The following is a 25,109-nucleotide window of genomic DNA, read 5'->3' as shown; positions in this document are numbered from 1 at the left end:
TTGCCAAAGAGAGCTACTTCACCTGGCATCTCTTCACTCAGAAAAAAACTGATCAAAACTGCTATTTTTTGCAAAAGTTATTATGTACAGATCAGACAGACTTAATGAATTGGGGAAAGACCTTTTAAAGTTAAAGAAAGTCTATTTGGTTTCCATGGGAAATTTCTTTCTTTTTTTTTGAAACAGAGTCTCACTCTGTTACCCAGGCTGGAGTGCAATGGCATGACCTCACTCACTGCAACCTCCGCCTCCCGGGTTCAAGCAATTCTCCCTGCCTCAGCCTCCCAAGTAGCTGGGATTACAGGCATGCACCACCATGCCTGGCTAATTTTTGTATTTTTAGTAGAGATGGAGTTTCACCAGGTTGGCCAGGTTGGTCTCAAACTCCTGACCTCAGATGATCCGCCCACCTCGGCCTCCCAAAGTACTGGGATTACAGGCATGAGCCACTGCGCCCAGCCTCCATGGGAAATTTCTTAATAGAAACGGGGTCTCCCAGGCTGAAGTACAGTGGCATGATCATGGCTCATCACAGCCTCAAACTCCTGGGCTCAAGCAGTCCTCCCACCTCAGCCTCCCGAGTAGCTGAGATGACAGGCACATGCCACCACACCCAGTTTTGTTTTGCTTTGTTTAATTTTTTATAGAGACAAGGTCTGGCAATGTTGCCAAGGCTGGTCTCAAACAGTCCTCCAGTCTCAGCCTCCCAATGCTGAGATTACCATGCTGAGATTACCAGCATGAGCCACCATGCCCATCCTTAAAATTTTCTTTTAACCTACCTCCAACATTTTTGCTTACAGGCAAAAAAGAAATATATGACAAAAATAACACTAATAAGAGCAGGTAGAGAAAAGAGATTCCAAACTTCATAAAGAGCCTCTGTTGGGGTATTATAACAAACTGCATTCAGCTGCATGAAACAGAACCAGAGTCTTTCCCACTAAAAAATAACTGCATGAGGCCAGGTATGTGGCTCACACCTATAATCTCAGCACTTTGGGAGGCCGAGGCAGGGGAATCACCTGAGGTCAGGAGTTCGTGACCAGCCTCGCCAATGTGGCGAAACCCCATCTCTACTAAAAATACAAAAATTAGCCAGACGAGGCCAGGCGTGGTGGCTCACGCCTGTAATTCCAGCACTCTGGGAGGCCAAGGTGGGCGGATGACCAGGTCAAGAGATCAAGACCATCCTGGCCAACATGGTGAAACCCCGTCTCTACCAAAAATACAAAAATTAGCTGGGCGTGGTGGCGGGCGCCTGTAGCCCCAGCTACTTGGGAGGCTGAGGCAGGAGAATTGCTTGAACCCGGGAGGCGGAGGTTGCAGTGAGCTGAGATCACGCCACTGCACTGCAGCCTGGCAACAGAGCGAGACTCCGTCTCAAAAAAAAAAAAAAAAAAAATTAGCCAGACATGGTGGCGGGCACCTGTAATCCCAGCTACTTGGGAGGCTAGGGCAGAAGAATCACTTGAACCTGGGAGGCGGAAGTTACAGTGAGCTGAGATCACGCCACAGCACTCCAGCCTAGGCAACAGAGCAAGACTCCATCTCAAAAAAAAAAAAAAGAACTGCATGAGAAAACAGACCAGGGCTGAAGCAGATTCATCTTAGGTTCCCAGTACACAGTCAGCAGCCCAGGTTCCCTCTCCTCTGCTCTCCCAATCTGTACTGGATGGCTTTCTTCACACTTGTAAGACAGCTGCCAAAGCCCTGGGCTTTCCATCCGCTCAAGGCAGGGGAAGGGTAAAAGCAACAGGCAAAAGGCAGAGGCCAAACAAGTGTGCCCCCTTTCTTTTTTTTTGAGATGAAGTCTTGTTCTGTCTCCAGGCTGAGTGCACTGGCGCGATCTCAGCTCACTGCAACCTCCGCCTAGCGGGTTCAAGCAATTCTCCTGCCTCAGCCTCCTGAGTGGCTGGGACTACAGGCACACGCCACCACACCCGGCTAATTTTTGTATTTTTAGTAGAGACAGGTTTCACCATGTTGGCCAGGATGTTCTCGATCTCCTAACCTCGTGATCCACCTGCCTCAGCCTCCCAAAATGCTAGGATTACAGGCGTGAGCCACTGCGCCTGGCCAAGTGTGCCCCCTTTCAAGGAGCCCGGTGTAGAAACTTCCACCTGAACATGCTGGCAAACTTGCAAGCAAAGGGGTCTGGGAAGGTAAATAATTTATCTGGGCCCCAACTACACCAAGCAAAACTGAACTGCATTAGGAAGGAAGTTGTCAAGACTGGACAATGGGTAGGCAATTAGCAGTCTCTGGCACAGGTATAAAATCCATAGTCAGATTCCAATAACAAGCTCTCGGTGAAAAGGATACTAGGACATGCTTCAGCAACTCCTCCTTTTTCACCAGCACAACTTACTGCACAGTTCCTCAGAGAAACTTCTTGCAACTTGCTCAGCTGACTGCATGAAAAACAGAGTTCACATGGATACATAAGCACGTATGCTATCCACTGGCCCTTTAAAAAATTAAACACATTTCAGACATATAAAAGGGTACCAAAAATAATATACAAATACCAGTAACCACCACCCAAATTAAGAAATAAAGCATTACAAAAAAGAAAAAGAGCACTACAAATATTACAAATGCAACTGAAGTCCTCTGGGGCCCTCTCCAAACACAATTCTCCCTCTACTCCCAGAGGTAAACTTTTCTTTTTGCTTTTTAGCCAGAGTCTCGTTGTGTTGCCCAGGCTGGAGTGCAGTGGCACAATCTAGACTCACTGCAACCTCTCCCTCCCAGGTTCAGGTGATTCTCCTGCCTCAGCCTCCCCAGTAGCTGGGATTACAGGCGCTTGCTACCACACCTGGCTAATTTTTGTGTTTTTAGTAGAGACGGGGTTTCACCATGTTGGCCAGACTGGTCTCGAACTCCTGACCTCAAGTGATCCACCCACCTCCGCCTCCCAAAGTGCTGGGATTACAGGCGTGAGCCACCACGCCCGGCCCTCCCCAGGGCCTTATACTACATTTGGTGTTTATTTAATCTTAAGCATTTCTTAATATTTTTACCATATATTTCCATATCCCTAAACAATTACAGCATTTTTTAATATTCTGAAACTTGATATAAATGGTATTCTACTCCGCAGAGCCTTCTGCACCTGACTTTTTCCTCAACAGTCTATTGTTCAGTGGTGAGATTTCACTACGGTGACACATGGAGCTCCAGGACATTCATCTTCACACCTTACAGCGTTTGTTATATGAACAGACCACAAGGAATGTACATACTCTTCTGCTGACATTTAGATTGTTCCCAACCACGCAGAAGTACATGCTATGGAGTGCTTCTCGCACTCACATGTAAAAGCCTCCCTAAGGTACTTCCTAGAGAGCGCACCCAGCTTCAGCATGACCAGATACTTCCGGCAGCCATTTGTTAAGTGTAGAGAATCTTGTGCTTTCTATTCATGAAAAGAATCCGCATACATAATGTCTAAGAACACAGAATCTGGAACCAGACCACCTGGGTTCAAATCCCAATTCCACCATCTCCTTTGGCTTTGGAGAAGTGAATTAGCACCTCTGTGCCTCAGACTTCACATCTCTAAAAGGCCACGGTATATGCACAAGTTCACAGCAGCATTATTCCTGGTAGTCAAGAGGTGGAAGCAACCCAAGTGTCCATCAACAAATGAAAGGATAAACAAAACGTGGCACACATATACAATGCAATATTGTGCGAACTTAAAAAAAAGGAAGGAAATTCTGACATATGCCGCAATGTGGATGAACCTTGAGTGTATTATGCTAGGTGAAATAAGCCAGTCACAGAAGAACAAATACATGGCCGGGGGCAGTGGCTTATGCCTGTAATCCCAGCACTTTGGGAGGCCAAGGTGGGCGGATCACCTGGGGTCAGGAGTTCGAGACCAGCCTGGCCAACATGGTGAAACCCTGTCTCTACTAAAAAAAATAACAAAAATTAGCCTGGCATAGTGGGGGGCACCTGTAATCCCGACTACTCAGGAGGCTGAGACAGGGGAATCGCTTGAACCCGGGAGGGTGGAGGTTGCAGTGAGCCGAGATCACACCATTGCGCTCCAGCCTGGGTAACAAGAGTGAAACTCTGTCTCAAAACAAAAAACAAGAAACAACAACAAAAAAAAGAAAGAAAAACCAGGGTACAAAAGGCAGCAGCAGAATTCAAGGTTAGAGGGTCCCAAACTTTCTCAGGCCACACGGTCCTTAGGGTTTCAGTAATTTTTTTCATGGTACTTAGGCCAAAATAAATACCTCACAGTTCCAATTAAGTACGTAGTTAGGGCCAAACAACTTAATCATTACTTATGTCCTGTCAACTCAGTGTCTGCTGGGCACTGCCCAACTTCCCAAACCCTGGAATCAGACTGGACGCCACCAATTCCATTTCCAGTTCCACACTGATTTAAGAGATACTTGCTTTTTTATAAAACAAATATTTCTATTGATGCATGATAGATGTACATAAATACTTGTGTTTTATCGCGGCAATTGCCCAAAAGCCAGCTTTGTAGGCTTATGACATCATTGAAAAGAACTACAGGAATCTCATGAAACAGGCAACTACTTCAAACTGTAGTTTGCACTGTGTCCGACAGATGTCGCTCCTTCCCCCTAAAATTTAAAATAGCCTTCTTTGCCAGGTCAACTTGGCACTAAGCATGAGGACTCAGATCTCAGTCCAAGCATCACTCCAGAGCCAAAGCCATCTCCAAGAGAAACCATACATAATGGATTTTTTAATTTGTTTTTGATTCCTTTATTGAGTAAGTCTCTTCTTAGTGGTACGATCTCAAAGCTGGTCAGCTGGATTTTATTGATGAGATAAGACAATGGCTTAAAGTAGAGGTTTCAACTCCTAACTGACAGCTATCATTAATTGTAGGATCTCATTTGTTATTCACAACAGCACTTATATCTTAGGTTTTATGTTGTAACTGAGGAAACTGAGGCTTAGAAACAATAAGCAGCTATCTCTAACTTCTGTCAGAGCCAAAAGTGCCTTAGCTGGCGGCTGAACCCAGCCTAACTCCAACACTGGCTGCATTCCACCAAGCTGTCTCATAATTTCTGAATTGACTAATCTCCAGCCAACATATGAGATTACTCCAGAATCTCTAAAATTTTACCTTTTCAATCAAGAAAGACACTAGCTAATGATTAAATGCAATGATACTCAAGTAGTAGGGTCATTTACAGAAAAATTCATGAGTTACATAGCTGTTCATAAACTAGGGGACGAAAATCCATTTGCAATTTGTTAATATTCTCAGAAAGAGATTAACCAATTAAAAAAATGCTTCCTTTGGGTAAGAGATATGTAAATATTTGGGGTTTTTTTTTTTTGGTTTGTGTGTCATTTGAGACAAGGTCTCACTATGTCACCTAGGCTGGAGTGCAGTGGTGCAATCATGTCTCACTGCAGCCTTGACCTTCTGGGTTCAGGTGATCTTCCCACCTCAGCTTCCCAAATAGTTGGGACTATAGGCACGCACCACTACACCCAGCTAATTTTTGCATTTATTTATTTATTTTTTTTGTAGAGACAGGGTTTTGCCATGTTGCCCAGGCTATTTGTATTTTAAATGGGAAAAAATAAAGCAAAGAACTCTAACCCTATGAAGCATGTAGTTCTTTAAATCCAAGTAAATCAGTAGGGTAAACAGTAAAAACTGTTCATGATAGTTACGTCTTTTTTTTCTTTTTTTTTTTTTTTTTTGAGACAGAGTCTCATTCTGTCACCCAGGCTGGAGTGCAGCGGCATGATCTCGGCTCACTGCAACGTCCACCTCCCAGGTTCAAGCGATTCTCTTGCCTCAGCCTCCCAAGCAGCTGGGACTACAGGTGCGTACCACCACACCCAGCTAATTGTTTGTATTTTTAGTAGAGACAGGGTTTCACCATGTTGGCCAGGCTAGTCTCAAATTCCTGGCCTTAAGTGATCCAACTGCCTCGGCCTCCAAAAGTGCTAAGATGACAAGCATAAGCCACCGCACCCAGCCCGTTTACGATACTTATATCTAAGTGGTGGCATTAATCATGATACTTTTTTGTTCAATCTGTAATTTCTAAATTCTCAACAATAAAGGTATCTTGTTTTATAAAGAACAGTCCATTTGTTCCTTTTTCTAAAACTCTTGATTTATTCTGAGTTTTTTTTAATGGGGGCCATGTATGCTAAAGAGTAGATGTACCAAGAAATGTATTTATTTTCCACATTGTCCCCATGTGCACTTTTATTAATAACAACAATAACAAAAGATAGTAAAGAAATTTACTTTGGACAGAACTATAGCTTAATTCTTTTAGAGACTGAAAGAAAATATATTGCAGGCCTCCAAGTGGCCACAAATTTATCCTCACAGTGGCCACCAGGGGTCCTTACCCAGATGCCTCGTCCAAGTCACTCACCACAGTAGGAAGCTGCAAGGCCTGGCCAGTTCTTGTGCAGCCATGACTGGTTTTGTGTAAATACTATCTTTCTCTCTCTTTGATTCAAGCAGTTCACTGGAATGACTAGAAAGCCTCCTTGTACAAAGTCACAATATACAGTTTCAGAGAAAAGAGAATGTTCTTGTGCAGCAGTTTTAAAGGGCATTATTTTAAGGCCGGGTGCTTAATCCCTGTAATCCCCAGTGCTTTGGGAAGCCAAGGATCACTTGAGCCCAAGAGTTCAAGACCAGCCTGGGCAACATAGCAAGATCCTGTCTGTATAAAAATAAAAATACAATACAATACAATACAATAAAATGCATTAGAGCCCATATCCCAAAATTGTGATTGAGCAGATCTGGGATGGGACCAAGGATGCCGCATGTTCCACAGCTCCCCAGGTGATGAAGATGTGCAGCCCGAGGTGAGAACTACTCCCTACTATTAACAGACGGCACCAGCACGCTCCACGGCATAGGGAACAATTCAGACTGCTGTTTCCATTCCCAACTTACCATCATCACCATGAAATAGAAAAGAACCCAAACGTCAGCCTTGGTTACTTAGTCAACACGAGATAATATGATGTGAATAGTAATAATGGGCCAATAAATATTTCAATTGCAAACTGGATAAATCTACCAATCCTGTGCTAACATAAGAATTTTAATTTCCCTAAATAATTCTTGGATTCCTCAGATTTTGATTCCGTTTCTGTGGAACCATAAACCAGTTTAGGAGCAAAGTCATGAGCATCCATATACAGTCATGGGTATTTCAATTCTGAACCTTAATAAAACCATAAAAGTCAGCTCTGCCGTTATAAACTCCACTTACCTTTGCTGTTTCATAATAGAGTCAAAACCGATAGTCTCCACAGGTTTATTTCCAATTGTAACAATTTGCTCTTTTCTATCTTCCTCTGGTCCATCTTCTAACACATAGCGGTTCTTAATTGCAGTAAGAAAGTCTGTTCCAAAATTTACCTTGTTCGGACGAATAAAGGATCCTCCTGTCGGGTGCCTGGTAAAGAAGAGCAAATGAAACACAGAAAATATTACCCACCAAGAAAGGCCATAAATACAATTTTCTGAAGGTCTTCAAAAATTTCTACATGCTAAAAAATCAAAATTAGCATAAAAGAGAATATCACATACTAAAATAATATATAATCAGTATGATTGACCATAAAGGGTTATGATCTTATGCAAGCATGTTAAATCCCTTTAAATAAACTAACAAGTAATATGAAACTGACAATTCACATTAGAAAAAACAGAAGTATTAAATCCATGGGGGTGGCCAGGCACGGTGGCTCATGACTGTAATCCCAGCACTTTGGGAGGCCAAGGCAGGAGGACCACCTGAGGTCAGGAGTTCAAGACCAGCCTGGCCAACATGGCGAAACCCCCATCTCTACTAAAAATACAAAAATTAGTCCAGCGTGGTGGTGCACACCTGTAGTCCCAGCTACTAGGGAGGCTAAGGCGGGAGAATTGTTTGAACTCGGGAAGTGGAGGTTGCAGTGAGCCAAGATCATGCCACTGCACTCCAGCCTGGGTGACAGAGCAAGACTCCATCTAAAAAAAAAAAAAAAAAAAAAAAAATCGTAGGTGGATTATATACAAAATCATTTATTTATTTATTTACTTATTTATTTTTTATTTTGGTAACAGAGAGAGACCTTGTCACTTAAAAAAAAAGAAGAAACAGTGAACTCTATAAATTGATCAAAATTGTATTATAAACACTATTTCAGCTTACGATCATTACTTTTTTTCTTTTTTTTTTTTGAGACAGAATCTCACTCTATTGCCCAGACTGGAGTGCAGTGGCGCAATCTTGACTCACTGCAACCTCCACCTCCTGGGTTCAAGCAGTTCTCCTGCCTCAGCCTCCCAATTAGCTGGGACTACAGGCATGTGCCACTACACCCAGGCTAATTTTTCTATTTTTAGGAGAGACAGGGTTTCACCATGTTGGCCAGGCTGGTCTTGAACTTCTGACCTTAAGTGATCCTCCCGCCTTGACCTCCCAAAGTGCTGGGATTACAGGCGTGAGCCACCACGCCTAATTTTTTTTTTTTTTTTTTAAAGAAAGGGGGTCTCACTCTGTCACCTCGGTGAGAGTGCAGTGACACAACCATAACTAACTGCAGCCTCCAATTCCCAGGGCTCAGGCAATGCTCCCTCTTCAGCCTCCCACGTAGCTAGGACTACAGGTACAAGCAACCATGTCCAGCTAACACTTTTCGTACTTTTTTTAAGAGACAACATCTCACTACGTTGCCCAGGCAACAACCATTAACTCTTAAAGAAAGAAATCAGACCTTTTTAGAAGTCACCATAATTCTGGCCAGGCACAGTAGCTCATGCCTATAATCCCAGCACTTTGGGAGGCTGAAAAGGGCGGATCACCTAAGGTCAGGAGTTCGAGATCAGCCTGACCAACATGAAGAAACCCCATCTCTACTAAAAATACAAAATTAGCCAGGTGTGGTGGCACATGCCTATAATCCCAGCTACTGGGGAGGCTGAGGCAGGAGAATCACTTGAACCCGGGAGGCAGAGGTTGCGGTGAGCCAAGATCATGCCATTGCACTCCAGCCTGGGCAACAAGAGCAAAACTCCATCTCAAAAAAATAATAATAATAATAATTGAAAAGGATGAAAACTAATATTTGTGATAAATTTTGTTAACATAAACATACGTACAGTTTTCTCTAAGATGTGGGTTCACAGTGATGATCAGACTCTAAAAGGAACTTGTGATCCCAAAAAGTTAAAACCAATCCCCAACCTGGGAAGAAGTGGCCAGGAGGGAGTTAGAAACTTAGAGAGTGTGGGCTGGGTGCGGTAGCTCACCCCTATAATCCTAGCATTTTGGGAGGCTGAGGCGGGCAGATCACCTAAAGTCAGGAGTTTGAGATCAGGTGCGGTAGCTCACCCCTATGATCCTAGCATTTTGGGAGGCTGAGGTGGGCAGATCACCTAAAGTCAGGAGTTTGAGACCAGCCTGGTCAACATGGTGAAACCCTGCCTCTATTAAAAATACAAAAATTAGCCAGGCATGGTTGCTGGTACCTGGAGTTTCGCTACTTGGAAGTATGAGGCAAGAGAATTGCTTGAGCCCAGGAGGTGAAGCTTGCAATGAGCTGAGATCACATCATTGCACTCTAGCCTGGGCGACAGATGGAAACGAGGGGAGGGGAAAGGAGGGAAGGGGAGGGGGAGGGGAGGGGAGGGGGAGGGGAGGGGAGGGGGAGGGGAGGGGGAGGGGAGGGGAGGGGGGAAGGGGAGGGGAGGGGAGGGGAAGGGGAGGAGAAGGGAAAGGGATGGGAAGGGAAAGGGATGGGAAGGGAAACTTGGAGAGTGTGGTGTCCTGGAAGCCAATGAAGAAAGTCAACAACCATGTCCAATGCTAAAACCAGGTCAGGTAAGGTAACAGCTGAGGCCTTGCCACTGAATCCAGCAACATGAACATAACCTTTCCTACGAGCAGTCTGGGTGGGGCAATAGGGCAAAGCCCAGCGAGGGTGAGTTCCAAAGACTGGGAGGCAAGTGAGCACAGCCTACCCTTGTCCTGAAGGGGCACAGGGGTCAAAGGAGGGAGATTGCTTAAGACAGGAGAAAATATCCACCTTGTATGTTGATGAAATTAATTCAGTGGAATAGGGGGAAGCTGATTATGCAGGAAATTAAATCCTCTTTTGTAGCAAAATTAAGTCCCATATCTCTCTCATGGCTTATACACACACATCAGTGATTTGTTTCTGTAAGTTAAACATGTCTCTTAAGTTACAAGCCTAGTTTACTGGCTGCTCTGCCTATGGAGTAGCCATTCTTTATTATTCCTTTACTTTCTTAATAAACTTGCTTTCACTTTACTCTATGGATTCCCCTCAAATTCTTTCCTTTGCAAGATCCTAGAACCCTCTCTTGGGGCCTGGATCAGGACCCCTTTCTGGTAACATCTTTCTGGCGAACCACAGAAAGGAGGACACTGAGGGGACCCGCCCCCCAACCCAAAGGAAATAGTCTGCAGCACTGACTGGGTGACCTTGGGACACAAGTGGAGAAACTGCTTATTTTACCAAGGCTTCAACTGGAATGGTGTGTGTTCCTTTATGGAATCAAACTTGACTTATAGAGCCAATAAAAGCCGCTTGGGAAAACTGGCCTCACTCCTTGTCTACACAGTTCCTGACCTGTGTCCCACAGACCTATGGAAGACAAGAGAATGATCCCACTTATTCCTGTGAACCAACCAGTGATCTCTGGCTGCTGCTCAGAAGAAACAAGAGTGATGGGTAATGTTATTCTAATTCTGGGCACATATTGGAATTGGCTAGTGACTCCTTATTAGCTTGATTTAAACAATTGCCCAGTTCATGGAAAACTTTCTAATTCAGTTTACTTGGGATAATTTTATTTTTTTTATTTTACTGTTGTGGAATATATTGCTGTGATTATACTCTTTGTGTAGGAATGCAGGATAAGCTTACTAAATGTTTTCTTAAACTGAACACTTATTAATCTTCCAGATATACCTTTTGTCGGAACTCAAGAGTTATGAATGGCCTTCGCCATACCAACGCTTTCGAACTGAGCTCCTCTACCCTGAATGCAAGAGACCCAACAGTTAGGCAGGAATATCATCACCCCTGTTCAGCATAAAGAAGTTACAGAAAGTGGATCTTCATCCCTCTGCAGCCCTTAGGATTAAGGGTTCTCTCGTAAAAGGGAGGGGGGAAATATGTCAGAGACGTTTGAACCAGAGCAACTCCATCTTGAATAGGAGCTGGGTAAAATAAGGCTGAGACCTACCAGGCTGCATTCCAGACTGTTAGGCATTCTAAGTCTCAGGATGAACTAGGAGGTCGGTACAAGATACAGGTCATTAAAGACCTTGCTGATGAAACAGCATGCAGTAAAGAAGCTGGCTAAAACCCACCAAAACCAAGATGGAGATGAGAGTGACCTCTGGTCATCCTCACTGCTACACTCCCACCAGCACCATGACAGTTTACAAATGCCATGGCAACGTCAGGAAATTACCCTACATGGTCTTAAAAGGGGAGGCATGAATAATCCACCCCTTGTTTAGCATATACTCAAGAAATAACCATAAAAATGGGCACCCAGCAGTCCTCGGGACTGTTCTGCCTATGGAGTAGCCATTCGTTATTCCTTTATTATAATTTTTTTTGGAGATAGAGTCTCCCTCTGTTGCCCAGGCTGGAGTGCAGTGGGGTGATCTTGGCTCACTGCAACCTCAGCCTCCCTGGTTGAAGCAATTCTCCTGCCTCAGCCTCCCGGGTTGAAGCAATTCTCCTGCCTCAGCCTCCTGAGTAGCTGGGATTACAGGCGTGCAACACCACGCCCGGCTAATTTTTGTTTCTGTTTTTTTTGTTTTTGTTTTTGTTTGAGACAGAGTCTCACTCTGTCACGCAGGCTGGAGTGCAGTGGCACGATCTCGGTTCACTGCAATCTCCAACTCCCGGGTTCACGCCATTCTCCTGCCTCAGCCTCCCAAGTAGCTGGAACTACAAGCACCCGCCACCACGCCTGGCTAATTTTTTGTATTTTTAGTAGAGACGGGGTTTCACTGTGTTAGATAGGATGGTCTCGAACTCCTGACCTCAAGTGATCCGCCCACCTCGGCTTCCCAAAGTGCTGGGATTACAGGCATGAGCCACGGCGCCAGGCCCTAAATCTACACTTTTTAAAACAGTGGTAATAAACAAGTTTTAAAACCATGGTAAAAAAACAAGAAGTCATGAACAGATCTTTATTACTGTTGAGTTTAGTTGCAGGCAGATGAAAGGAGAGTTAGGAATGTTGTTAGGTAGTTGCAAAACGGATGCTATGCCCTTTACAGATCAAAGACTAACACTAAAGATCAATATTTTCTGGAACATTTCCAGCAGGTTTCTCAGAAAACAAAACAGCCTCAACAAATAGTGAAAAACCCTAGCTGAATGGGTGCCCATCAATAACAACAAATCTCCAAGAGGTAAACTGTAATAATTTACATAGACTCCACTGAGATTCTACATTAATATATTAAGAAACTGTATCCAAACACTGAAATTCCAAACCATGTCTAAAGAGAAAAATGTTGGTGAGGAGGAGAATACAGGGAGGGGTGTCCAAAAACGTTTCTCTTGGAAGCATTTGGCCTGTTCAGGTTCCTTCCTCCTTCTGCCTACCAATTACACATGCTGCTGGTAAAATCATCATCCTGACCCATGGCCCTTGTGGAAACAGCATGTGCTCATAAAACCCAGTTATCAAGATTCATTCTGTCCTATGTCCCCATCAGGACTGCCACATAGAATCGAAGATGCTCAGTTAAGCTTGTATTTCAGATAAACAGCAAATCATTTTTAAGTAAGTATGCCCCCATGCATGTCTCATACTTATACTAAAAAAAAAAAAAAAAAAGATTGGCTGTTTATCTGAAATCCAAAGTTCACTATGCATTTGGTATTTTTGTTTGCTGAATCTGGCAACACTACACAAAGGTAAAGGGTCCCCAACAGACTCCCAGACTTCCACAGTAAGCTTCTTTCTTGTTGGAGCTTTGGATACAAGCTACTGGAAAAGGCCAGGTCTCTGGGGAGTTTCTAATAAATACTGTTGATCTTGATACCCTGTTTGTTTCAGGAATGTTTAGTGTTCAGCAAGGTTGCATAACTAGCTGTTCATCAGGAGAGGAGAACTCAGCTTTCGTGCAGTGTTCAGCGCTGTAACATCTAAAGAGCTGACCCAGAGAGGTTGTTTTCCTGTGAGTAAAGCAGTACAGTAGATAAGCACCTTGCTGTAGACTGCTCTTTTTGTTTGCTTCTCTAATCAGCTGAATTTAATATTCATCTCAACTGCTTTTGCGTTGACACAATTATGATTTTGCTCTGATTCAAGAAAACCTTCCAAAAATGAAGCAGAGCTACCACCTTTTTGAACAGAGATGCGCCTTGCCCACATACTATCATTACATTTCCTGATTAAAAAAAAAAAAAAATCTTCCAACACTTTACACCACACCAAGAGAATATTTTATACCAATCCATTAATGCTCAGCCAAGATCCTCAAAACACTTTACAACTGGCTTATGACACACAAAAGATGAATAAATCAAGGGCTTTCTTTTTTTAGTTTAATTTTTAATTTTTGTGGGTACATACAATATTTTGATACAGGCACACGTGTAACAATCACATCAGGGTGAATGGGGTATCTATCACTTCAAACATTTATCCTTTCTTTCAAACACTTATCCTTTATTGCTAGGGCTTTGTTTCTTAAATTGTCAACCATCCATTTCCTAAGATGTCCATTACCACAGACACAGGCTGGAACAGCACGACCTCTCTGATGCTAAGTATTAAAGTTAGATTCTGCTCCCTAGTGTTGAAGAAAAGTCAGATTTTAAGATTTATTTCTCACCAGAAAAGAGAACTTCTACCATTGCTTGGAAACAGAAGCACTGAAATAAAAGGTGAGTGGGCAGAATACTGACACACACAGCTCTGTTCAGAGCATACTCTGGGGTTTAGGTTGAAAGAAAAAAAAAACTGAAAACCACTCTGCTGTCTACGGACAAGGTAAAGAGGACTTCAAGGTTACTTACCATATTTGAACCCCTCAACTACCCCTTCAACAAGAAGTAGAGAGCAGGAGTACCTAGGAAGGACACGGGTGACTGGCGCACGGCCATAAATCTTGGATAAATCTTGGGAAAGTTGATTACAGAAACTGGGTCATTCTTGTCATACCCAACTAAATCAGAGTCAAGGGACCAAGGGGAAAAAGTGCTCGGGGCACACAACACCTGCTCCAAGAATTCAGTTTATTACAAGCCCAGCTGCTGAGACTGCCTGTTGTAACCTGAAGCCAGTTTTATTTAATAGCTACTAAAACAATCTGCCGTGACTCTAAGACTAATCTTACCCACCACTGTCACTCACCAATCAGAGCTTGCTAGCCAGCTCTCCAAAACTTGACTAGTGCCAATGAACTTTCTTTCAGAACAATATGTAACATTTCTCCTTTTTATAAAATGTACTAGACAGGACACGGCGGGTAACACCTGTAATCCCAGCACTTTGGGAGGCCGAGGTAAGAGGATCACTCAAGCCCAGGAGTTTGAGACCAGCCAGGGCAAAATAGGGAGTCTCCATCTCTACAAAAAAATCAAAAAATGAGGTGGGAGAACTGCTTGAGCATAGGAGGTTGAGGCTGCAACGAGCCATGATTGTGCCACTGTACTACTACCTGGGTGACAGAGCAAGACCCTGCGTCCAAAAAAAAAAAAAAAAGGCGGGGGCCAGGTGCAGTGGTTCACGCCTATAATCCCAGCACTTTGGGAGGCCAAGGCAGGCAGAACACCTGAGGTCGGGAGTTCGAGACCAGCCTGACCAACATGGAGAAATCCTGTCTAAAAATACAAAATTAGCCAGGCGTGGTGGCACTTTCCTATAATACCAGCTACTCAAAAGGCTGAGACAGGAGAATCCCTTGAACCTGGGAGAAGGAGGGTGCAGTGAGGCGAGATCACGCCATTGCACTCCAGCCTGGGCAACAAGAGCGAAACTCCGTCTCAAAAAAAAAAAAAAAAAAAAAAGCCCAGGAGCAGTGGCTTATGCCTGTAATCCCAGCACTTTGGGAGGCCGAGGTGGGCAGATCAAAAGTTCAGGAGTTCGAGACCAGTCTGGCCAATATGGTGAAACCCCATCTCTACTAAAAATACAAAAATTAGCCAGGTGTAGTGGCAGGCGCCTGTAGTCCCAGCTACTCAGGAGGCTGAGGCAGGAGAATCGCTTGGACCCGGGAGGCGGAGGTTGCAGTGAGCCGAGATGGTGCAACTGCACTCCAGCCTGGGCGACTGAGTGAGACTCCGTCTCAAAAACTAAAAGAAAAAATCCACGTTTCTCTTTGTTCTTTGTTCTTTGGATATACCAAAGACGATCTAGTCTGTGCGGATGCCCTGAACTGCAATTCTTGCTTCCCAAATAAAATGTTACACTTAGACATTCATCTGCACATTTTATTTTTATTTTGACACTGTAAACCACTATTAATTGCTAATGTTACAAATATTAATTATGGGTAATAATAGCTCAGGAGATTACTATATTTACCTTAGGTTACAAAAGAGATCAGAGAAACTAAAACATGACATGAAATCATCAAACTCTAAAGGACCAGTTAAATTCCTGTAGTCCAGACCAGTGGTTCTCCACCACTTCAGACCCAATGATCTCTTTTGTATTGCCCCATAAATATCCTGAAATGGAATTCACAGATAACATTACCTACTCATATAATTTTTTAATGTCAACAAAGTGCCTATTTAAATTTTAAAAAGTTATTTATAATAAGATAATATGTACTTCAATTATGTAAATGTTTAGGCATGACAACACAACACTAGACGATATAATGAAGTAAGCAGTTATTCCAAGGCTAAGAATCCAAATACAGTCATGCACCACATAATGACGTGTAGATCAACAATGGACCGCATATGCTACAGTGGTCCCATAATCACACTGGAGCTGAAAAAATCCTATCTCCTAGTGAAGCTGTAGCTGTCTTAATGCTGTAGTACAACATAATACTCGTGTTTGTGGTGATGCTGGTGTAAACAAGCCTACTACACTGCCAGTCACATAAAAGTATAGCACATACAATTATGTATAGTACATAATATTTGATAATGATAATAAATGGCTATGTTACTAGTTTAAGTGTTCACTATACTATACTTTTTATCATTATGTTAGAGTGTACTCCTTCTATTTTTTCTTTTTTTTTTGAGACACAGTTTCACTCTGCTGACCAAGCTGGAGTGCAATGGTGTGATCTTGGCTCACTGCAACCTCCACCTCCCAGGTTCAAGTGATTCTCATGCCTCAACCTTCCCAGTAGCTAGGATTACAGGTGCATGCCACCATGCCCAGCTAATTTTTCTGTTTTTAGTAGAGACGGGGTTTAACCATGTTGGCCAGGGTGGTCCCGAACTCTTGACTTCAGGTGATCCTCCTGCCTCAGCCTCCCAAAGTGCTGGGATTACAGGCATGAGCTGCTGTGCCCAGCAAACTCCTACTTATTAAAAAAAAAAAAAAAAAAAGTTAATTGTAAACTACCCTCAGGCAGGTCCTTCAGGAGGTATTCTGGAAGAAGGCTCAGGTCCAGTGCAGTGGCTCATGCCTATAATCTCAGCAATTTGGGAAGCCAAGGCAGGCAGATCACCTGAGATCAGGAGGTCGAGACCAGAATGGCCAACATGGCGAAACCCCGTCTCCACTAAAAATACAAAAATTAGCTGGGCATGGTGACATGCGCCTGTAGTCCCAGCTACTCGGAAGACTGAGGCAGGAGAATCACTTGAACCTGGGAGGCAGAGGTTGCAGTGAGCCGAGGTTGTGCCACTGCACTCCAGCGTGGGTGACGGAGCAAGACTCTGTCTCCAAAAAAAAAAAAAAAAAAAGTACCGGGCATGGTGGCTCACGCCTATAATCCCAGCACTTTGGGAGGCTGAGGAGGGTTGATCACGAGGTCAGGGGTTCGACACCAGCCTGGCCAACATGGTGAAATCCCATCTCTACTAAAAATACAAAAATTACCCAGGTGTGGTGGCGCATGCCTGTAATCTCAGCTACTCAGGAGGCTAAGGCAAGAGAATCGTTGGAACCCAGGCAGTGCAGTGAGCTGAGATCATGCCACTGCACACCAGCCTGGGTGACAGAGCAAGAATCCATCCCAAAAAAAAAAAAAATTTAAAGTTTATAACATAAAAAAGTTACAGGAAGCTAAAGTTAATTTATTATTAAAGAAAGAAAAAACTTCTAAGTTTAGTGTAGCCTAAGGCTACAGTGTTTCCAAAGTCTACAGTAGGGTACAAGAATGTCCCAGCCTTCACATTCACTCACCACTCACTCACTTACCCAGAGCAACTTCCAGTCCTACAAGGTCCATTCACGCTAAGTGCCCTATGCAGGCATACCATTTTCTATCTTTTTTTTTTTTATGATGAGATCTCATTGTGTTGCCTAGGCTGGTCTTGAAACTCCTGGGCTTAAACAATCCTAATGACTCAGCCACCCAAGTAGCTGGTACTAACAGGCACATACCACCCGTACCACCCCACACTGCTTAATTTTTTTTTTTTCTTGAGCCGGAGTCTTGCTCTGTCACGCAGGCTGGAGTGCAGTGGCACGACCTCAGCTCACTGCAACCTCCACCTCCCAGGTTCAAGCAATTCTCCTGCCTCAGCCTCCTGAGTAGCTGGGACTACAGGCGCCCGCCACCACGCCTGGCTAATTTTTATATTTTTAGTAGAGATAGGGTTTCATCATATTGTCCAGGCTGGTCTTGAACTCCTGACCTCGTGATCCGCCTGCCTTGGCCTCCCAAAGTGCTGGGATTACAGGCGTGAGCCAACGCACCCGGCCAATTTTTTATTTTTACTGTACCTTTTCTATGTTTAGATAAATACTTACCATTGTGTTACAATTGCCTACAGTATTCAGCACAGTAACATGCTGTACAGGTTTATAGCCTAAAAGCAATAGGCTATGCCATACAGTAGCCTAGGTGTGCAGTAGGCTACACCACGCAGGTTTGTTAAGTATACTATGATGTTCACACAATGATGAAACCACCTAACAGGCATTTCTCAGAACACATCCCCTTCATTAAGCAATGCATGACTATACTGACTCAATGTCCCTGAACCAAGGCTTCCCATTAGCATTTCAGGACAAACCCTGCATCACCCAGGACTTGAAGCAATTCTTGATTTTTCTGCTCAGAGCAACCAAGACTTTGAAAATATCACTGTATCCAGAGACCATTAAAGACCATAAAAGTATGGACAATTTGGGCAAGCTTTTACAAGAAGGAAGTAGGCTGGGGTAAGTTCCAAATAAAAAGTCCTTTCACAGGGGGTGGTGGCTCACACCTGTAATCCCAGCACTTTGGGAGGCCGAGGCCAGTGGACTGCCTGAGGTCAGGAGTTCGAGAACAGTCTGGCCAACCTGGTGAAATCCCCGTCTCTACTAAAAATACAAAAAAATTGGCCAGACGTGGTAGCGTTCGCCTGTGATCCCAGCTACTCAGGAGGCTGAGGCAGGGGAATTGCTTGAACCAGGGAGGTGGAGGTTGCAGTGAGCCAAGATCACGCCACTGCACTCCAGCCTTGGCCACAGAGTGAGACTACATCTCAAAAAAAAGAAAAAAGTCCTTTCACTGGAGGGTTTGTAAGGTCATGGTCCAGGTACCTAAGGAATCTGTGGGCCTGGCTAAAATATTTCTCCCTAACCATATAACCTGAACAGCTCTGAACAAATTCAGAGATGGCAAGTCTACAAGTAGAGTTGGCCTTTTAAGAACACCCTGACTTTCTAAAATTATGAAATAGTGGACCAGGAGATATGCTGTGTGGTTACCTAATTCTGACCTTCATTTTAAAGGTTAGTAAACTTGTCTTGTTCAGGACCATAAAGACTGTTAAAAGTGGGGCTGGTGCAGTGGCTCACATCTGTAATCCCAGCACTTTGAGAAGCCGAGGTGGGAGGATCGCTTGAGGCCAGGAGTTTGAGACCAGCCTGGGCAGCATAGAAAAACTTCATCTCTTTTTTATTTTTATTTTTTTAAATTAGCTGGGTGTGCTGGTGCACGCCTGTAGTCCCAGCTACTCAGGAGACTGAGGCGCGAAGATCACTTGAGCCCAGGAGTTCAGGGTGACAGTGAGTCATGATCATGCCACTGCATTCCAGTCTAGGCGAGACAATGTCTCAAAAAATAAACAAATAAACCAACCAAACAAACAAAAAAGACTGTTAAAAACAGGCTAGAGGCCCCCTGATTTCCAGGGCAGTATTGTGTTCACTGTACCATACTTAAGGAAAAACAGCTTACTAGGGAAAGATCGTTTTCAGAAATTGAAAACTAATAAAAATCAACAACAACAACAAAAATTTAGAAGACAGGCTCTGCCTGAAGGCTCCCCAGCACCCTTTTCAGGGCTTCATGCAGTTTTTCTGACATCAGGCGATCAAAAATAATAATAGAAATGCAATGTGACAGGCCGGGCGTGGTGGCTCACACCTGTAATCCCAGCATTTTGGGAGGCTGAGGCGGGCGGATCACAAGGTCAGGAGTTCGGGACCAGCCTGGCCAATATGGTGAAACCTCGTCTCCACTAAAAGTACAGAAATTAGCCAGGCGTGGTCGTGGGCACCTGTAATCCCAGCTACTCAGGAGGCTGAGGCAGGAGAATTGCTTGAACCTAGGAGGTGGAGGTTGCAGTGAGCTGAGATTGTGCCACTGCACTCCAGCTGGGCGACAGAGTGAGACTCCGTCTCAAAAAAAAAAAAAAAAAGACAAAGAAATGCAATGTGACATGTAACTCTTCCTATGATAAGAAATTTATTTAATGGTGGCTCAACATTCCACTATTCAGATGTTCTGTATTTTGTGTAATCAATTCCTTCTTACTGGAAATCTAGGCTGTTTCTCTTTTCTATTATTTACTTACTGGATTGTAAATTGGTAATGAGCCAGAAAGGTTTACATTCATCCAATTTAAAGGACTGTTAAAAAAAAAAAAAAAAAAAAAAAGGACGAAGAAAGCAACGCCATGCATAAGGTCAAGAGTCAGAATTTTTTTAAAAAAGGGAAAAATGCTACAAACAGCAGCAATTAAGCCACAAATAAAATAACTGCCTTTTTGGAATACAACAAATTCCATAATATAACTACTCCATGAGCCAAACATTTCTTCCTCTCCATCCCTCCTTATTCAAGTATTAAATATAATCTTGACTAAATGACCGTGCTGATTCATAATGAAAAGTTACCTGCATTTAAAATACACAGTCCCTTCGTGGCTCCCATCATGCTTTCCTCTCTCGGGATTGTCCCATTCTACTCCTAACCAGGGTCCTAGCAGAACAAGAAAAACCAAATGAGTAACAGATGATGATACAGGCAATGCTCCAGTTTTCTGCAAGCAAATACCAATTTGCAGCGGAAACCATATCACACAGATACCACTTGGGGAGGAGGGAATGGACAAGTTAGCCTTATACTCAGGACTTCAATCAGCAAATGCCATAGCATGTCTGGGTGAAAAAGCCAACAAAAACCACCACTCCAGAAAACAAGAATGGCTAAAATTTATTGAGCACACTAAACAAAACTGACCCTTGAGGACATTACACTAAGAGAAATAAGCCACCATAAAAGGACAAATACCATATTCCACTTATATGAGATACTTAGGGTAGTTACTACTAAACTGTACATTCAAAACTGGTTCAGATGGTAAATTTTATGTTACGTATATTTCACCACAATTTAAAATGTTAAATTGAAAAGTGGTTAAAATGGCAAACTTTATGTTATGTATGTGGCTACAATAAAAATTAAAAAAAAAAAAAAAGCCCAGGCACAGTGGCTTACGCCTGTAGTCCCAGCACTTTGCAAGGCCAAAGTGGGCGGATCACCTGAGGTCAGGAATTCGAGACTGGTCGAGACTGGCCTGACCAACGTGAAGAAACCCCATCTCTACTAAAAATACAAAATTAGCCAGGTGTGGTGACACATGACAGTAATCCCAGCTACTCGGGAGGCTGAGGCAGGAGAATCACTTGAACCCGGGAGGCGGAGGTTGCAGTGAGCCGAGATCATGCCACTGCACTCCAGCCTGGGCAACAAGAGCAAAATTCCGTCTCAAAAAAAAAAAAGGCTGGGCACAGTGGCTCACGCCTGTAACCCCAGCACTTTGAGAGGCAGAGGCAGGCGGATCACGAGGTCAGGAGTTCGAGACCATCCTGGCTAACACAGTGAAACGCCGTCTCTACTAAAAATACAAAAAATTAGCCAGGCACGGTGGCGAGCGCCTATAGCCCCAGCTACTCCGGAGGCTGAGACAGGAGAACGGCGTGAACCCGGAAGGCGGAGGTTGCAGTGAGCCGAGATCACGCCACTGCACCCCAGCCTAGGCGACAGGGCGAGACTCCATCTCAAAAAAAAAAGAGGAAAAATAATTTTTTCCTTCAATTTCAGCAAAAACCCAATAAAGGTAGTCTTCAAGGAAAAAGAAAATTATACCAGATAGAAGCCTAAAGATACAAGGAGTGGGGAGATAAAAGGCAAGAAAAGGGTAAATATATGGGTGAAGTTAAAGTAATACAGACAATGTAAAGTAATAATATCAGTTCTTCGGGTTTAAAATAAACATCGGTTAAAATGTCACACATATGAGTTAGGAAGGTGATAAATGGCATGTTCTAAGGTCTTTCATGGGTCCAAAAGGAGGTATAATTATTAGACTAGATTTCTGTAAACCAGAGATGCATATTTTAATCTCTAGACTTACCTCTAAATAATAAAAAATTAACTGCTGTGTAAGGAAAAATAAAAAATGAATAACTACTGCATAAGTTAAAACTCTCCAAACCATGTCTTTCCTCTGCTACACTATTCCTCACACTACAACGATCAGCACAGATGACTTCTGTGACCGAATGTGTGGGGGTTTTCCCCACACACCAAGCAGGGGATGCCATCTGGGTGTCCGCCAATTCAATTCTGACACTATCTGACTGGACATAGTGTCAGACCACCAGCCACTAGCCTGGGCGTCTGGAACTTCTGACCGACCAGCTTCAAACAGCTGGGGTTCCAACAGCCCCCTCTTTGTATTTGATTAATTTGCTGGAGCGGCTCACAGAACTCAGGAAAACACTTACTTACATTTACAGGTTTATTATAAAAAATATTGCAAAGAATCTAGATGAAGAGGTGTGCTAAGGCGAGGTACAGGGGAAGGGCTGTGGAGCTTCCAAGCCCTCCATGGATGCAAGAACCTTCACAGATTCAGCTATCTAGAAGTTCAAAGACATTAGCATTCCTGCCTCTAGTGTAGAGGGGTGGGAGCCTCTCCGGGAGGGTCTTATGACCCACAGTCAGAATGGTGGAAGAAGATTAGAGTTCTGCCTTGGGGCAGGAGAATGGAGGGCAGGAGAGAGATCCTGTTTCCTGAGGCCTGACACACCAATATTATAACAAAAGACTGTAACAAGAGGTATGGGAGTTGAGAACCAGGAACCATGAACAAAAACCAATATATATCATACCACCACAACTCCAAACTAATGGAGAAGAAACACAAGGTAAAAATAATCATCTCTAGGCTTGGTGGCTCACGCCTGTAATCCCAGCACTTTGGGAGGTGAAGGCGGGTGGATTGCTTGAGCTCAGGAGTTCGAGACCAGCCTAGGCAACATGGCAAAACCCCGTCTCTACTAAAAATACAAAAAAATAGTTGGGCATGGTGGTGCATGCCTGTGATCCCAGCTACCCAGAAGGCTGAGGTGGGAGGATCGCTTGAGCCTGAGGTATGGAGGTTGCAGTGAGCCAAGGTTGAGCCACTGCACTCCAGCCTGAGTGACAGAGGGAGACTCTGTCTCAAAAAAGAAAAAAAGAAAAGAAATAGTGGCTGGGCACGGGAGCTCACGCCCATGATCCCAGCACTTTGGGAGGCCAAGACTGGCTGATTGCTTGAGCTCTGGAATTTGAGATCAGCCTAGGTAACATAGTGAAACCACATCTCTACAAAAACTACAAAAATAAGCCCGGCTCAAGCGATTCTTTTGCCTTAGCCTTCCGAGTAGCTGGGACTACAGTAGCTGTAGTCCCAGCTACTCGGAAGGCTGAGGTGGGAGGACTGCTTCAACCCAGGAGGCAGAATTTGCAGATAGTGCTACTGCACTCCAGCCTGAGCAATGGAGTAAGACCTTGTCTCAAAAAAAAAAAAAAGAAAACACCACAAATAATCATCATCGTCATCCAATGAAGGGAGAAAAAAAGGAACAGAATGTCAGCAAAACAAACAAAAAGCAAGTAGTAAGATGAGAGATATAAACCCAAATTATCAATAATTAAGTAAAACATAAATGGTATAAATGCTCTCATTAAAAGAAAACATTTTCCAATACCCGGGCACGGTGGCTCACACCTATGGTCCCAGCACTTATGGAGGCCAAGTCAGGTGGATCACCTGAGGTCAGGAATTTGAGACCAGCCTGACCAACATGGCAAAACCCCATCTCTACTAAAAATAGAAAAATTAGCCGGGCGTGGTGGCGGGTGCCTGTAATCCCAGCTAGTTGGGAGGCTGAGTTGGGAGAATTGCTGGAACCCAGGAGGTGTAGGTTGCAGTGAGCCAAGATCGCACCATTGTACTCCAACCTGGGCGACAAGAACAAAACTCCATCTCAAAAGAAAAAAAAAAAAAAAGAAAGAAGTAAATGTTATCATCATAGAAACTATCAGAATGGGTTGAATTGATGGATGCTACAAAGAAGAATGCACAAAATAAGGCCATTCTCTCACACTGCAAAGCACAAGTCATTTTTCAAGCCAAAGCAGACAGAAGGAGCAAGGCCAGCATTCAACTGTGATTAGCTGTAAGTCTGACGAAGAATATCTATGGTTTAGCAAGCTTTTCCCCTGGGGCCAGTACATTAATGATAGAGGAGCAACTACAGAAACCAGTATGAGTAAGAGAGTGGACAGACATGGTATAAGGGTATACCTCACCAGTCAGATCCCAGGAATGTGTAAGATCCAGATTTTTGCTTTCTACATCCAGGGCGAACAAACCCTGATAGCCTCAATTTGAAAATTCCAAATGCACAGAAGACTGAACCAGACACTAGCACACAGGTTTATTAATTCACAATGATTAATAAAGCTGTCACACAAACCTGATTACTCTGGTCAACCTAATTTGTTTCCTATTCTCCATGGACTCAAGCCACATGAAAAGCCAATCATAATCAGGCCCAACTTCACTGACATCACAAGAATTAAAAATAATTAATCCATCACAAAAGTTCTGCATAGCGAAAGAAACAATCAACAAAGTGCCGGACGCGGTGGCTTACGCCTGTAATCCCAGCACTTTGGGAGGCCAAAGCGGGTGGATCACAAGGTCACGAGGTCAGGAGATCGAGACCATCCTGGCTAGCACCACGGTGAAACCCTGTCTCTACTAAAAAATACAAAAAATTAGCCGCGCATCCTGGCGGGCGCCCGTAGTCCCAGCTGCTCGGGAGGCTGAAGCAGGAGAATGGCGTGAACCCAGGAGGCGGAGCTTGCAGTGAGCCCAGATCGCGCCACTGCACTCCAGCCTGGGCGACAGAGCAAGACTCCGTCTCAAAAAAAAAAAAAAAAAAAGAGATTGAGACCATCCTGGCCAACGTGGTGAAACCCCGTCTCTACTAAAAATACAAAAATTAGCTGGGCGTGGTGGCGCACCCCTGTAGTCCCAGCTACTCGGAAGGCTAAGGCAAAAGAATCGCTTGAGCCAGGGCGGTGGAGGTTGCAGTGAGCCAAGATGGCGCTACTGCACTCCAGCTTGGAGACAGAGCGAGACTCTTGTCTCAAAAGAAAAATAAATAAATAAATAAATAAATAAATAAACAATCAACAAAGTGAAGAGACAACTCACAGAATGGGAGAAAATATTTACAAACTACTCATCTAATAAGGGATTAATAACCAGAATATAATAAGGAGCTCAAACAATTCAATGGGAAAAACATCTATTAATCCGATTAAGAAATGGGCAAAAGATCTGAATAGACATTTCTCAAAGGA

At 43.8% G+C, this 25,109-nt stretch overlaps 1 protein-coding gene across 4 annotated transcripts in view, besides 2 other annotated features; it reads right to left on the bottom strand.

Moving 5' to 3' along the window:
- Positions 1–25,109, bottom strand: part of TBCE (tubulin folding cofactor E) — an 85,017-nt gene that overhangs the window by 30,557 nt on the left and 29,351 nt on the right. For 3 of the 4 annotated variants that reach the window (NM_001079515.3, NM_001287801.2, NM_003193.5), the window contains exons 3-5: positions 20,300–20,384; positions 7,269–7,454; positions 2,326–2,414 (exon numbers count right to left, since the gene is read on the bottom strand). In NM_001079515.3, the coding sequence (NP_001072983.1) occupies positions 2,326–2,414; positions 7,269–7,454; positions 20,300–20,384 (360 nt within the window). Of the gene's footprint in view, positions 1–2,325; positions 2,471–7,268; positions 7,455–20,299; positions 20,385–25,109 lie in introns of all 4 variants that reach the window. The other variant, NM_001287802.2, reaches the window with a different exon arrangement.
- Positions 21,256–21,789: an enhancer, noted in NCBI's record as "H3K27ac-H3K4me1 hESC enhancer chr1:235563413-235563946 (GRCh37/hg19 assembly coordinates)". NCBI's record gives its function as "activates a minimal SCP1, AML or CMV promoter by ChIP-STARR-seq in naive H9 embryonic stem cells {active_cell/tissue: H9 hESC(naive)}" and the evidence as "EXISTENCE:reporter gene assay evidence [ECO:0000049][PMID:30033119]".
- Positions 23,827–24,027: a silencer, noted in NCBI's record as "peak773 fragment used in MPRA reporter construct". NCBI's record gives its function as "represses an SCP1 promoter by STARR-seq MPRAs in K562 erythroleukemia cells {active_cell/tissue: K562}" and the evidence as "EXISTENCE:reporter gene assay evidence [ECO:0000049][PMID:32103011]".

Source organism: Homo sapiens, chromosome 1, assembly GCF_000001405.40.
Source record: "Homo sapiens chromosome 1, GRCh38.p14 Primary Assembly".
Lineage (NCBI taxonomy): Eukaryota > Metazoa > Chordata > Mammalia > Primates > Hominidae > Homo > Homo sapiens.
This window is presented reverse-complemented; position numbering and strand designations above follow the sequence as displayed.